General features: G+C 37.9%; 1 long non-coding RNA gene across 1 annotated transcript; it reads right to left on the bottom strand.

Moving 5' to 3' along the window:
• Nucleotides 1–283: 283 nt before the first annotated feature.
• LOC105373812 (uncharacterized) lies at nucleotides 284–13,543 on the bottom strand. The gene is made up of 3 exons (XR_923718.3): nucleotides 13,108–13,543; nucleotides 7,248–7,396; nucleotides 284–402 (listed from the first exon to the last, which is right to left on the bottom strand). It is a non-coding gene; the product is annotated as an uncharacterized LOC105373812 (long non-coding RNA).
• Nucleotides 13,544–15,188: the final 1,645 nt, after the last annotated feature.

Below are 15,188 nucleotides of genomic sequence, written 5' to 3'. Positions count from 1 at the left end.
ATTTAAGGTGGCTGGCATGGGGAAAAAATAATGAACAAAGAAATGCTGAAAGAAAAGAGAATGGGGAGACACCCTCAAGTACATCTTCAGGAAAGAGGGAAGGGATTTTCCGACAGGCAGTGAGTCTTCATCATATAAGCTGATTTAAGGATCTTTCAAACCTGAAAATATGCAGTTCCTATGGTTAAAGAAAGTGAGGAAGACTTGTACAGAAATCAAGTGAACCAGTCTTTCCAAAATACTCCAAAACTGCTAGTTCTACTTCACCATGCCTCGAGTTTTTACATGGCACACAGCTATGGTTTTTAGCAACCCGCTGCCCAAGATGTGAGGATGGTATATATGAGGTGCTCATTCTTTCCACAGCAGAGCAGAATCAGGTTTCAGGATTCCAGTCATTCCCTAAGATAAAAGTATCCAGCAAGAAAGAGTTAGTTCATGGAAGGTCTGGCTGACCTAGTTAAGATAATATTTCATCCTGTGAAAGTTGTTGAGAGAATAAAATATGTCACCAAAAGCTCAATTAGATAAGGAAACTCTCTAAAGGGCCAAACTCTTAGAAACCAATAAAGGGGAACGGTTCACTTTCTAGTGACAGCTTGTCACATACCAAGAGAAATGTCCCTGCTTAGGCAGTCTCAGGACACCAGACACTGACTCTGTCCTGACATGCCCTACAACTCTAAAGTCATTCAGTTCTGGGTTTTGGAAAACTGTATTTGTAGAGACATATATTCTATTGTGATCTTTATATTTGGGTTGTTTTTTATTAAGCCATCCAGAGTGTGTAATTTCCCAAGACAAACGAAAACAACTGACCATCCCCAAAGGGTCAGTCCCCAACAGGATCACTGAGATGGACATCCGACATTTCTTGGTGGCAGTAACCAATGACATGCTACAGTTACTGGAGTCTCAATGAGGATCTCACAGTCTCTGGAGGCAGTAACCAATAGTGTGCCACTATTCTGCTCCCCAAGCCTCAGGGGAGAGTCTGGTGAAGACTTGCCCACCAGAGCATAAGACAGATTCTATCCTAAATTGGGTCCGCTTTTCTTGCCATTTTAGCCAATGACAATCTGTACTTCTTAAAGCCAAGCAATGTCTTGAACTTTGATGTATACGTAAATCATAGCTCAGCTTTAGAAATTTAAAGATCTTGGAAACGCATGTAAATTAGCGTTCAAATGTCTGCCTTTCATCTCCCTCCCACTTTCCTTCTTGCTCTCTTATACGAAAAAGGAATGTGAAACAAATGAACAACTTGATCAAACTGTGTTTGTCTCACTCCTGCCCAGAAGACAGAGTTGAAATGAGCACAAATTTAAGTAGTATAAGTATCCAAAATTTCAGTGTTCTTATTCCCTCCAAATGGCTATCCATGAATTAGTCCCAACAAGCCCAAGGTGAAGCATTCTTCCTGGTTCTGCCAGTAAAACTTCATAAATAAATAAAACCACCAATGAAAGATACTGCTGACATTGTATAAACTATATCCAGTCATATCGGAAAGATAAGATCTATCCTAATTATAAGAAATACAGGAAAAACTCTCTTTTATAAGAAAATTGAAACCAAAGAAAATATTTCATTAACTAAATCCCATTCCTGAGATATTCTTTCTTAAGAGTATACTTCTGATTGCTTTACTCTCAATCTCAACTTTAATTGTTGAGATTAAAGCCTTGGGAAAAATCAGGACAGCAGAAGTAATCACTTCAAAAACAGAGTGTTCACTTATAGATAAAATGTCTAAAACTAGGACAGTGAGTGAGTTTGCTATGAAATAGGAGAAGATATGCTGCAATCAGGCTGATGCAGACAGAATAGAGAGATCCTAGGAATCCAAACAGTGCGGTCTTCTATGAGACTGTGTCACAGGTCTGTAAACAGTCATGGTTAAAATGCCCAAATAAAGAGTTGTAAAAGATGCACCCTTAGCTAAATATTTCACAAAATCATGATTTTCAGGGTTGCCTTGTGTAAATGGATCACAGAGAGTTAAGGAGACAGAAGATGCAGTGGTTTTAACTGAGTTGTAGAACATTCCTTTAAATTCTGAAATGGTTCTCTTGAGAACTGTTTCAGTGCTCACTGAATTCCCAACGTTTAAAAATATGTCTGAAACAATCATTGCTTAATTTCATCCCTCGAGACCCACCCTCCAAAAATGTCCTGTGGCACATACGTTGTTACTTTCTAAATTAAAGTAATTCAAAATTGGCTTTATTCTATGAATATAGGGAAATATTCCCAGCTTCCTTTCAGACCAGTGCTTTAACTTTAAAAATAATAGTGTAAAGAGAAGGAAATAACATTCGATGTAATCAGATGTCTCGTTTTTTTAAAAGAGAACTTAAAGAGATGCTCCTATGTACCACACAACTTGCACTTGTGACTAGAGTCATTTTCCTTACCCAGAATTTCCACCTGAAATAGAAACTAGGCACTAGACAAATACTCTCAGCATAACAGAACTGCAGCCTGTCTATGATCATCGACAGAAAATGAGTCTGTGATCTGCACAAACATAAGCAGAAAGAGCAAGGCAACGTCTTTCCAAATACATTCAAACATATTTGAAGTCTCAACTGTAATGCAAACTGCTTCATGGAAAGGTGGATTCTTTTCAGGGCTGAAGTCATTCTTCCAGAATGCAGTAAGTAAAGTGCTTGGCCAATAAGTGCTTTTGAGCTACCAAGGTAATATTTTCCAAACTTCACTCCAAAGAGCAATAGTCCTTCCGAAATACTATAGATACTTCTTAAAAATTCATTTAAGTAGGCATGGGAGCTTAGGAAATTCCCACTTTACCACAGACTTTGCCTTTGCTATGCTAATGTGTGTTGAGACTCTCTAAGAGTGACTCATACTTACAATATACTTATTTGACCAAAAACTCTTTTCACGGAGTCTTTTAGCGTCTCATGGGGTCCCTAGTGCTTTAAGGAACACAGTTAGGAAAACGTGGCATTCATGTAATATAAGAAAGACTATGGAGTAGTGGTTGCAAAATTAGAATGAAGTGACAGTCATTCTAAAGCAGTCCTGTTACGTGTGATACTGCCATCTAACCCAAGCAATGGCATCAAGTACTTTGCTACACCAACTCTCAAACTTCTACCAGTCATCTGAAGTTGCAGATTTGAGCCAAGTGATAAATAATTGTATTCTGTAAATCATTTGGGAGCATTTCTCCAGATCTCTTTATAGTTTGCTCCTGAAATTTTATGCAATTGTACATTTTTGGTGCCAGGACTATCTGGCTGTACATTTAATTTTCAGTTTTGTTTCAGAGCCTTGTCATTTCATCAATCAGAGCTATTCCATCTGCTGAAATGCTGACAAATCCAGCTGCTTTGTCACTTCTAATCAATTTCATTAACATCTCCACGTTCTGTTTCAATTAGTGGCCTATTCTTTGCACTGTTTGATGACTTGATACTACCTACCGTCTGCAGATTAAAAATCAAATTACAAATTGCTTTGTCCTTGGCATTAAAAATCCTTCCTTCTTTACCAAATCATTTCCATTTAGCACGTTTACCCCTCTTAAGTTAAATTAAGCTCTACCACATTGTGAAGTAAGGGGTTCAATTGTTGTGCAAGGAATGGATCCATACTGGGATGTTCTTCTTGACATTCACTTAATCCTTCTGCCCTCATTCAGAATTCAATCTTCTTTCATCTAAGCCTTTCTATTGTTGTGATTTTTTTCCACACATTACTTTAAACACCTACTTGAAGTGTTATTTACTTGGTTATAATCCTCACTCATTTTTTTAATTCATCAGACACAATACCAACATTGTCTATTTTCTGCAATTCTTGACTTAGAAAACTGTCAAAGAAGAACCAGTTGGACGAAATCATCCTTGTTGCTGATTATATTACTACCCAAACCCAAACAATGAGGAAGTAGCCTTTGAATGCGATTTTTCAAGTAGATATAATACCTCTGCTCTGTTTCCTGTCTTTCTCTAAAAATCAGTCCATGCTTACTTATTTTAATTGTAGAGAATTGTACAAATTTTTACTTTTGTTAAAAAATGCAGAAATAGCATAGAATTCTGACTGTCCTTTCCCGTGCTTTGTGTCATAACTGACAGCATGGAGCTTTAGTAGCCTAAAGCGATACAGCAACAGTGCTGTGGGTCATGTTTTTAACTTTAATGACAATCTGTAATTGCCTGCAGCCTGCCTCATTTCTGGCCCTGCTGATTTCTTGAGGACCTGTGATAACACAGCTCCAACTTGGTCCTCTAATCAGGCTCGTGCCCTCTTTTATGTGTTTTTTATATTTTTTCAGGGTTATCAGTCTTATAGTAAAGTAGTCAGAGTCTACAACTCTACCTCCTTCTTCAGGGCATTCCAAAAAATTAGAATTTCCTTCTAGCCTGCAAGCTTTCACAACCGTCTGCTTTTTCCTGTGGCTGGAAGTGGTGAGAGTTTGAATAGCAACAGCTTTGCTTCAAATTGAACTGTCTGATACCGACCATGAAATCCCCTTTAGCTTTAATCTTTTTTAGACATTTGAAATTTTCAAAATACTGCTTGTCAGGGTAAGTTCCCTTTTCCTCCAGTATAGCTGGTTCACATTTGACTTGCACTTAAAAGATGTTGCAGTTATTTCATTCTTCTTAGAAATATTACCATCCTTGACTGTTTACAGAAACATATGTGTGTTCATTTATTAAAAAAAATGGTTTTTGATCACCAACTAAGTGTTAAACATTGTCTTAGAAGGTACTAGAATTCAACAGGGAACAAAGTCTCCATCTCATGGAGGCAGACAGTGGTTGAGATAGACATGATGGCTAGAGAGAAAGGGGGCCTATGACATTACCATTAAACAGGCAATCAGCATAAAGTAAGAGCCAGCTGGATGTGGTGGCAAACAGGCTGGGAAAGAGGACGTCAGGAGCCAGACACCCTGGTTCAAATCCTGCCCCCTCATTGATTAGCTGAAATCTTAGGAAAGTTGATTAACCTCACTGTACCTCATTAGCCTCATTGATAAGATCGAGACAGTAATGGTTCTACCTCAGATATTTGTTGTGAAGGTCAAATAACTTAATACTGTAATGCCCTTAAAGAAGTGTCCAGCACATAAAAAAGTGCTATCAAGTATTTGTAAAATTAAAAAAAAAAACAGATAGTAGGAAAGCATTATGATCTGGGAAGTATATTTTGCTCTGGGAGTTCATTGCAAGTGTGCCTAACCTAGTGTAGGAGAAGTCAAGGATGCTCTTTAGATCTGAAGGAGCAAGAGTAGCCACTACAGAGTGAAAGTAAAGAGAATAGAGTGGTGTCTGTATAGCTAGAACTTAAAATGCCCATGAAAGACAACTAAAAATATCAGGACAACAGTAGGGACCAAATTAAAGAGATTGAGACTTTCAAATTCCAGAAAGCTAGAGGTCAAGAATATACATATTAATAGTGTAGAAAACTATAAACATCATGGATAAAACAGAAAAATATCCCAAAATGCTAAAATTTAGAAGATCCCCAAGATACTTGAAAGAGTAAATAGAGCCAATAGAAGAAAGTGCAGCCACTTCCCTGATTGTAAAAGTAGGAAGCTAATTTCCCAACAAAGTAACACAGATTCAAAATAAACAGCGGCTTCCTGGGAAAAAAAAAAAGCCACACAGAAACAAAAACAAAAACTAAGATATTCTGGAGATATATCCTTACTTTTGAAGGAGGTGCCACCTCCCCCAACCCCAAAAAGAAAAAAAAATAAACTGATCGAGTTGGAAGAAAAGCTCATTCTTAGAATAGCAGCTCTTCTCTTATCAAGTCTTCTTAGCAGTTTCCAGGAACAAAATACAACTTTGTGGTTTATGCAACCCACACTGCCTACATAAAGATGGATGGCAACAGCTTAAGGGTTGCCCTTCCAATCAGTGATCTAAAATAGATTTCATATTCTACTCCAGGGTATTATTCTATTTCCATTAGATTGAATCACATGAAATTGCCATTTTTGTAAGTCAAAAATGATTGAGTAGCAGCATTTTCATATGCTTAAACCTAATATATGTTATGGGAAATTTTTAGTTTGTTGTGATGCTTTTTGCTGAAAGATAAAACCACAAGAGCTGCAAGTGTGCTCTCAATTTCCCAATGAACAGTAAAGTAATGCAGAGCTTACCATTTCATGGTGAAAGCTTATGCACATGCTCTAGTTGCTGGAAAATGTGTCTCCTTATAGAAAGCAAAAATGTGCCTCTTTATAAATTCTGCCCATTAGTACCAGTTCTTTTCTCTGAAGTACCTGGAATAAGCAATATTTCCTTCCCACTAGAGAATCCTGGATACCTCACACATTCTCCAGTCTTTCCAGTTATGTGTCATCAGCACACGTGATTAGCATGTCCTCCATAGTTTAACTCTAGCCCATGAAACAGCAATCTAGGTACACTATGTCAGCTTGCTGAGATTCAGCCTACTCGCAGAAGCATTCTGTTTACACAGCTTTCTGTAACTTCTTAGCCTTGGTATACCATACACAGATATGGCATGTATATCAGAAAAATACTTCGCATTATTTTAAGGAAAGGCATTATGATTTGAGTACCACAATTCTGTGAAGACATTAAGTCTATGTCACCATTTCAATCATGCAAGAGGGTGGCATGGCGGTTTCAGACAGTTGGTCACTGTATCTGTAGTGAACACTTTGGCTGCAAACAACAGAAAATAGTAAGACATGGTGGCTACCCAAAGGATTACAAATCATTCTACTATAAAGACACATGCACATGTATGTTTATTGCGGCACTATTCACAATAGCAAACACTTGGAAACAACCCAAATGCCCATCAATGAAAGACTGGATAAAGAAAATGTGGCACAAATACACCATGGAATACTATGCAGCCATAAAAAAGGATGAGTTCATGCCCTTTGCAGGGACATGGATGAAGCTGGAAACCATCATTCTCAGCAAACTAACACAAGAACAGAAAGCCAAACACACTATGTTCTCACTCATAAGTGGGAGTTGAACAATGAGAACACGTGGACACCAGGAGGGGAACATCACACGTGGGGGCCTGTCAGGGAGTGAGGGGCTAGGGGAGGGCCAGCATTAGGAGAAATACCTAATGTAAATGACGGTCGATGGGTGCAGCAAACCACCATGGCACGTGTATACCTATGTAACAAACCTCATGTTCTGCACATGTACCCCAGAACTAAAGTATAATAATTTTAAAAAAAAGATTTTTCAAATTACCTCACATAGCAAGATCCATGGAGATAGATGGTTCAGAAGCTACATAATGTCAGGATGTGGGATGGTATTTCTGAAATCCTCTTGGTTCTCTTTTATTGTCACAAGATGGCTGCAGCAGCTCTAATAACCTTGCCCTTGCATGGCAACATCTAAAGCAGGAAGCAAGGAGAGAGAGAGAAGGAAATAATGTCTTTATTACCTAGTTGCCTTCTTATCAGGAAGGACAAACTTTGCCAAGTATCTCTCACAACTCATTGACCAAAATGAACCACATGTCTATATCCTACACCAATGGTTGTTAAAGTGCAGTTCCCAGACCAGCATCATCCTCACCTGGAAATTTGATTAAAATGCAAATTATCAGATCTGACCCAAACACACTGAATTAGAGACTCCAGAGTTAGGGCCTAGAATTCTGGACTGCAACAAGTTCTCCAGGTGATTCTGATGCACACTAAGTTTTGAGAGCCTCTGTCCCAATCTCTGACAAAGTAGAATCATATCATAATAACTGGCTTGGACCAATCATTATTCATCCCAGTGGAACTGGGCACATTATTGCCTAAGTTAAAATTGGGCTTTCGATGGCCATAAAGGGAGGAGAGCAGCAGTGAGGACTGGCCATGAAACAAAAAGAAGAGGAGCAAGAGTAGAAAGAGAAATAGGAGCGAGGGAGCCAAAATTATCATGGTAATGGGAACTAGAAGCAGATCTTAACTCAATCTGAGAATGTTGCTTGAGGAACATCTAAAAAATTACTGAGTTTTGCAGATTATAGGGAGCTAATAGAACTAATAAAGTGCTGGAGAAAATCAGTGTTAATGAAAAATAGACTTGATTATTCTACTTCAAATGTAATTTAAGAGTATGATAAATACTATACCATGACACATTTACCAAATAGTGATGAACACTGCAAAAATCAGTAGCTAGTTAGAACTTCAGTAAAGTGCCAGATTTCATACAGAGTGTGAGTAGGAGGAGGAGTAAAGAATGTCATTTAGTCAAATGCAAATTAATGGTCACGTGTCTCACTCTACTGACAAAGAATTAGTTTTACTTCTGCCACACATTATTAGAGAATACACAAAGTTGAATTTCCAATCATCCATAGCTATGCTGCCCAACACAGTAGCCACTAAGCACAGATGGCTACTGAGCACTTGAAATCTAACTAGTATGAATTGAGACTTGCTATAAGTATAAAATACATACTGGGTTTCAAAGGCATAATACAAAAATAAGACTATAAAAGACATCATTAACGATTTCTATATTGATAACATGTTGAAACAATATTGTGATTTATTGAGTTAAATAAACTATATCATTAAAATTAATTTCACCTTTTTTCTTTTTACCTTTTCAGTGTGGTTACCAGAACATTTTAAATTACATGTGTAATTTGCACTACATTTCTATTAAGTAGCACCCATAGTTTATATCTTTGATTTGTAAATTTACTTTAATTAATTCATGAAACCTTTTTCAAATACCAATCAGGCAAGTTTTAAAAAATATAGGTGAAATTTGCAGTTGTCTATGTGCCCATGACGTAGGATCTGAGAGATTCTGGTGGGGAGAACACTCCATCCACAAGTTATTACCTTCAAGAGTTAATGTATTTAAATTAACCACATTTCCCTAACTATCTTCACCTAATATGTAAATGTACTCATGAGAAGACTAATATATTAAGTATACATAAACTAGGAATGAGAAAAGACTTTCCAAGATCTCAGTTTTTCATTTGTTCCCTTTCCTAAAATAAAAATTAAAAAAGGAAAAAAAATTCATCTGGCCAAGAGCAAGTACAGTCAACATGTTGACCCAGTGTCAGGTTCTCACTTCTCCTTTTGTGATATTTCTCCAGCCACTTTTTAAAAAAGAGGTATTTCTCACCCTTCACAGATATTACAATGGTACATTCCTGTGGTAGCATTAGGGTGATGTCTAATAATGGATCTATTTGGTGCTGGTGTTGAGAAAGATAATGGTTCATTCAATATATGGACAAGAAATTTGACAAGTTACTGTATACATGTGCTATGAATGCTCCCTTTCAGTTCATGTAAGCATGATGCTGATGACAGCAGCCAAAATATTTCCTTACTAGAGGAAAACAATTTATCGTGAAGTACAGTTCACTGATTTCATGCAAAACTTTTCAAGTTGAGAAAAAAATAGAATTCCTTTAAAGCAGTCAGCATATGCCTCCTCATCATCACAAACCTCAAATAGGCAAATACTTTAAAGACATTATTGAATCTAGGTGTGTGAACTTGTTATTTTGAAGACAAACCCCAAACCAGTAAGCAGAATTTCTAGACGTAATTGATACTTTAATTTCTTATCTGAAAAATTTGACGGGAGCCACTGTGTTTACTAACCCCTAATCCTCTCTTTGGGGACCTTCATGGTTCATACGACTGGCTCCAGTATTCAAGACTCCTCATAAGTTTTCATCAGCTGGGTGTGGCGGCGCGTGCCTGCATTCCCAGATACCTGGAAGGAAGGCTGAGGTAGAGGATTGCTTCAGCCAGGAGTTTTAATCTAGCCTCAAACTGGGCAATGTAGAGAGACCCTGTCTCTGTTTAAAAAAATGTTTTTATTAATCACAATAATTTGGGGATAGTATCAAGCTGTTGGTTTTGTCTACCTTTTTTTCTGAAGGCTCACGTTTCATGCCAGACTTCATTAATGAGAGAGATATTAGAGAATCAAGACAGCCTATTTAATTACATAGAAGTGGCAAACTGGCTGAAAGGTTTTCAAGTAACCCGAGTTTGATAGATAACTGCAACCCCAAGCCCTCGCTTTCATTTTCTACATTGTCTGCATCCAAATGTTGCCAGATCTAAATGAGTTTATTCCTCTTTCTACTCCCACAGCCTCTGCCCCCTTTGTCCAGGCTCTGCACCCCTCACTGAGATGCTCGTGACAACTGCTGACAGGTGTCCTTGCCTTGGGCTTTTCTTCTCTGAGTTGTTCTCCTCCATGCTGTTATTTATGTTATCTTCACAAAGCACGGCTCTGATCATAGAATTTCCCGTCTTAAAAAGTTTCGGAGGCTCCTCACTGCATACAGGACCAAACCCAAACTCCCTTGCCTGGCTTACAAAACCGTACGTAGCTGGGTTCCCTGCTTATCAGATTTAACATTTATAAAGGGCCTCATTTTCTAGGCATTCATGTAAACACCAAGGCTATGAAAATGAAAAGTACCAAGAATATTAAGCGTTTATTGGTATTAAGGGGGAAAAAGAATAAAATATGATTGTCCCAGAAAAAGTTCTCATCTAGCTGGGAGGCAGACACATCAACAAACACCATGCTACAATTCAGTGAAGACACATAACAAACTCTGTAGAGCACCATGGAGTAGCACGAAGAAGAGGCTGCTTCTACTCTTGGCCTTAATGCCCACTTACATTCCACCCTCTTGTCCCCAACACACCACAGACAGAAATGCTCCCCTCAAGCCATCTGGGCCAATCTGCAATCCTTAAGGGTACACAGCACTTTCCTACTCTGCGCCTTTGTTCATCTAGTCCTCTTATCTGGAAATTTTTCCCTTCACCTCCTTCCTGTGAGCACTCACTCTTCCAGCTCTGATCAAATCCTAAATTCTCTATTAGATTCTCAGATTTTCCCAACTAGATTAATCCTCCCCTTCATTTCTTCACTGTGTATTTAGTGTCATTGAAATCATAACATCTTATATTACTATTACTTACATTAATTATATTACATAACATCTTATATTACTATTACTTACATTACTTATATTACATAACATCTTATAATACTATTACTTATATTACTTCTATTACTTAGGGAGTCTTTTTCCCCCACTAAATTTTGAAGACCTCAAGAGTAGGGATTACATGGTTTTTTCCTTATGTTTCCCATGGTTCCAAGAGGCTTATGACTAAATAATTCCCAAGACATATTTATGATATACAGTGAATGCTTTCCAATAGGACCTTGACAGAGTAGTACCTGGTATGTTGCCTATTCTTGTTGAAACTCTACATCATTGTTGTGAAGAAATAGGAAGGCTTTTACACTGTTGGGAGTGTAAATTAGTTCCACCATTGTGGAAAGCAGTGTGGCAATTCCTCAAGGATCTAGAACTAGAAATACCATTTGACCTAGTGATCCCATTACTGGGTATATACCCAAAGGACTATAAATCATTCTGCTATAAAGACACATGCACACGTATGTTTATTGAAGCACTATTCACAATAGCAAAGACTTGGAACTAACCCAAATGTCCATCAATGGTAGACTGGATAAAGAAAATGTGGCACATATACACCATGGAATACTACGCAGCCATAAAAAAGGATGAGTTCATGTCCTTTGCAGGGACATGGATGAAGCTGGAAACCATCATTCTCAGCAAACTATCACAAGGACAGAAAAACCAAACACCACATGTTCTCACTCATAGGTGGGAGTTGAACAATGAAAGCACATGGACACAGGGCAGGGAACATCACACACCAGGGCCTGTTGTGGGGTGGGGGTCTGGGGGAGGGATAGCATTAGGAGAAATACCTAATGTAAATGTCAAGTTGACGGGTGCAGCAAACCAACATGGCAGATGTTTACATATGTAACAAACCTGCACGTTGTGCACATGTACCCTAGAACTTTATAATAGATTAATTTATACTTATTTAATTTAGATTAAATTAATAAAGATTAAAAGATTTAAAAAGTCTACATCATTGTTTTCTATGTCATACTAAGATTTAGTTTCAAATACCTGCTAGAGGTTTTTTTAATCATTTCTCTGACTAGACTGCAAGGCAGTTCTCTTTTAGCTAGTAACGTACTGTGGGGAAGAAAAAGAAAGACAATGTCTCTTTTCTCTGTGCTCTGCAACTGCATATTTCCTTGGCTATGTCTCTCTCTGATGATCCTTGATCCAAATGGTGATGCTGTATCTATAGTAGACACAGAGCCACGAAACAGCCACAATTATAGAGATTGGTTGGCGAAAAAAAAAAAAGTTTTCATTAAATACTTGCTAATTAAGTGGCATGGGTTAATTTCAGGATTGAGAATTACTACCATCTTCTGTTTTGGATAGAGGTATTCTTGGTTTCCATAACACAGAAGCTGTGTCTGGGCAATGACAAAATAGCCATCAATTAAGTTTTTGAAAAAAAAATCAATTCTCAATCCAGTAGGGGAAAAAAATCAAATAGGTTTTTGGACTCGACAATGCAGTTGGCTACCTTTGACTCTTTCCTTTTCAACTTCGTGTTTTGTTATCTTGTAGATAGGAAACATTTTAGGGGTAGCTACAGGGTTTCATGCCAAACCCTGCTGGATACAAGGAGAATATGCTAAGGCCTTCAGCCTTCAAGATTACTCAGTATTTAGGAAGACAAAATAAATATACAAAAAACTGAAGTTAATTCATCGTTGTCAAATATTATAATGCAAAGATGTCACAAAAGAGCACCTAACAGATTGATTTCTAAATATTATCCATAATCAAAACTGTATACTCAGCTGATGGGAGCACCACTATAAATTGATGTGTCCAGCAGTATGGGCCAGCAGACCAATGGGAAGTCCAGTTTAAATGAGGAAGAGATTTCAATTGGGAAACTGAATTTTTTTTTTTTTAGTTTCAAAGTTAACTTATGTCTATATCACTTCCAGATTGTACAACCCCTTAGATTTACCTGTAGTGTTTGGAAAGATGCAGGTACAATTTGTTACCACAAAGAAAATGGCCTTACTGTCAGATCACCACAAACACTCATGGAGTCCTGATAAGTGTGTAGAATGTTTCTCTAATTTTTTCAGCCCATCATCATCAGCCTATACCACATACCTCACTGAACATCCTTCTACCATTCTTCTGCTTCCTCTTCCTGCTCAGCCTTTTCCACAACTCGCTCAGTCTTTTCTGCCTCTATGCCATCTCCAATGAGTCCCAGTTTTCACGGTGTTGAAATTTGTTTCTGTCTTGACCATAGATTAGCCAAAGCAAGCCTTCCTGTGGGTTGCTGGTGAATACTTCATTTCAGACGTTGCAAGGTGGTGGCCCCAGGGTTGAAACCGGCCTACTAATACATTTTGTGTTGGCCTACACAGTGTGTTACTGTTTTAAATTAGTTGCCATCTTTAAAAATCAGGAAATATTCAGCTTCTTTTTTTATTAGAATATCCACATTCCAACAAGAAAATCGACAGCTCACCTTTAGATGGATATATGCTTTTTTGATTCCTCAGACTAGAGCATCTGTGAGACAAATAAAACTTTATTGTTAGTGACCCCCTCTCCTAGTATAGAAAAATCTAAATCAGTAAATACTTTTTACTTTCTTTTCAGCCTCCAGAATAAATTTCAAATCCTCAGACTGAGGGAATGCAAAGCCCTTCACCTGTGACTTGCTGTCACTCGAGAATTAACTTCCATCTCTGCTGCTACCACCCTAGTCCTGATTAGCTGCAGTAAATTCCAAGAGATCTCCCTAATTTGTGTATTTTCCCTCCACACTCAACAGTTCCTTCTCCACACAGCAGCCTAGGTGTTCTTTCTGAAATGTAATGTAGATAACATCACTCCTCTGCATAAAACCCCCCAATGGTGTCCCATTGCATTTAGAATAAAATCCAAAATGTAGCCATAATCTTCAAGAACCCATGTGATCTCACTTCCATCTGTCTCTGCCCTCAATTATTATCATTCTCACCGCTGACCATGACTATTCTGCCACACTAGCCTTCCTGGCCATCCAGCAAGCCTGTTTTATCAATGGCCTTGCAGCTCCCTCTCCCTAGGCCATCACACGGCTAGATCCTTCTCCTTCTGGTTTCACATCAAATTTCACTTCAGAGAAGTCTTCCCTGACCTATCCATTTTAAGGTAACTTCTCCCAATCCTGTCACTTCTTATTTCATTCATTATTTCATTTTTATTTTATAGCACCTCTCACCGTTACCTTATTTGTGTACTTACGTATTTCCTGTGTCCACTCTCTAAAATGCATGCTAGGCTTGGGTGCCTAGTCTGCTTGTTCGGCTCTGTATCTCCAGAGCCTAGAGCAGCCCCAGGCATATAATAGATGCTCATTGTTTAAAGTTTGCACCCTACACCTTGTTCACCAAACTGAATAATAGGTTTTTTCCCTAAAAATTTCCCTACTATTTCCCATCTCTCTATGTTTATTTACTCATGCTACTCTGTTAGCCAAAACTTCCCTTTGCCAATTTCTCTCATTGTCTAAATTCTTCCAGTCCTTCAAGACTTAACTTAAATATCATTTAATTCATGAAAATTTTGCTAACTCTTTAAACTAGTCTCACTGCCTCCCTCCTCTAAACCTTTATGGCACTCCTCTTATCTTTTTGATGTACCATTTGGTAAATTATGTCATACATTTTAATTATGCATATAGCATTTTATTCCCACCTCAAAATGTTTAACCATTTGTCTCATTTATCTTTGTATTGCTAGCATCTAGGACAGTGGTTTGCCTTACTCAGAGTAGACGTTCAGTAAAGATTTCATAATAAATACATTGAACGGATGGATAAATTCTACTCCTAGAGACATAAGCCTATGAGAAATGAAAAAGGTACCTAAACTCATGGTCATGATGTTCAAGCATCACCAGTTTTTTGAAAGGCAGAGAAAATAAACAATTTCCTTCAGATTTTTCTATCACTGACTTTAGTAACCTTATTCATAATTTTTAGTGCCTTAGAAGCCAATGAGTTTTGTGTCCCAACTCCAATAAGGAAATTCTTTTTTAAAAAATTAGGAAGTGACTCTCAGAAATGCCAATAAACAACAACAACAACAACTTGCAGAGTCGCCTGCGTGAATGTTGCCAGGAGCAACTTACTGACTAAATCAATTGAGCTATATTGAAGTAGTTAGTCAAAGATCTTCATTTCTATCTTGGC

The sequence above is a fragment of the Homo sapiens genome, chromosome 2 (genome assembly GCF_000001405.40).
Source record: "Homo sapiens chromosome 2, GRCh38.p14 Primary Assembly".
Lineage (NCBI taxonomy): Eukaryota > Metazoa > Chordata > Mammalia > Primates > Hominidae > Homo > Homo sapiens.
This window is presented reverse-complemented; position numbering and strand designations above follow the sequence as displayed.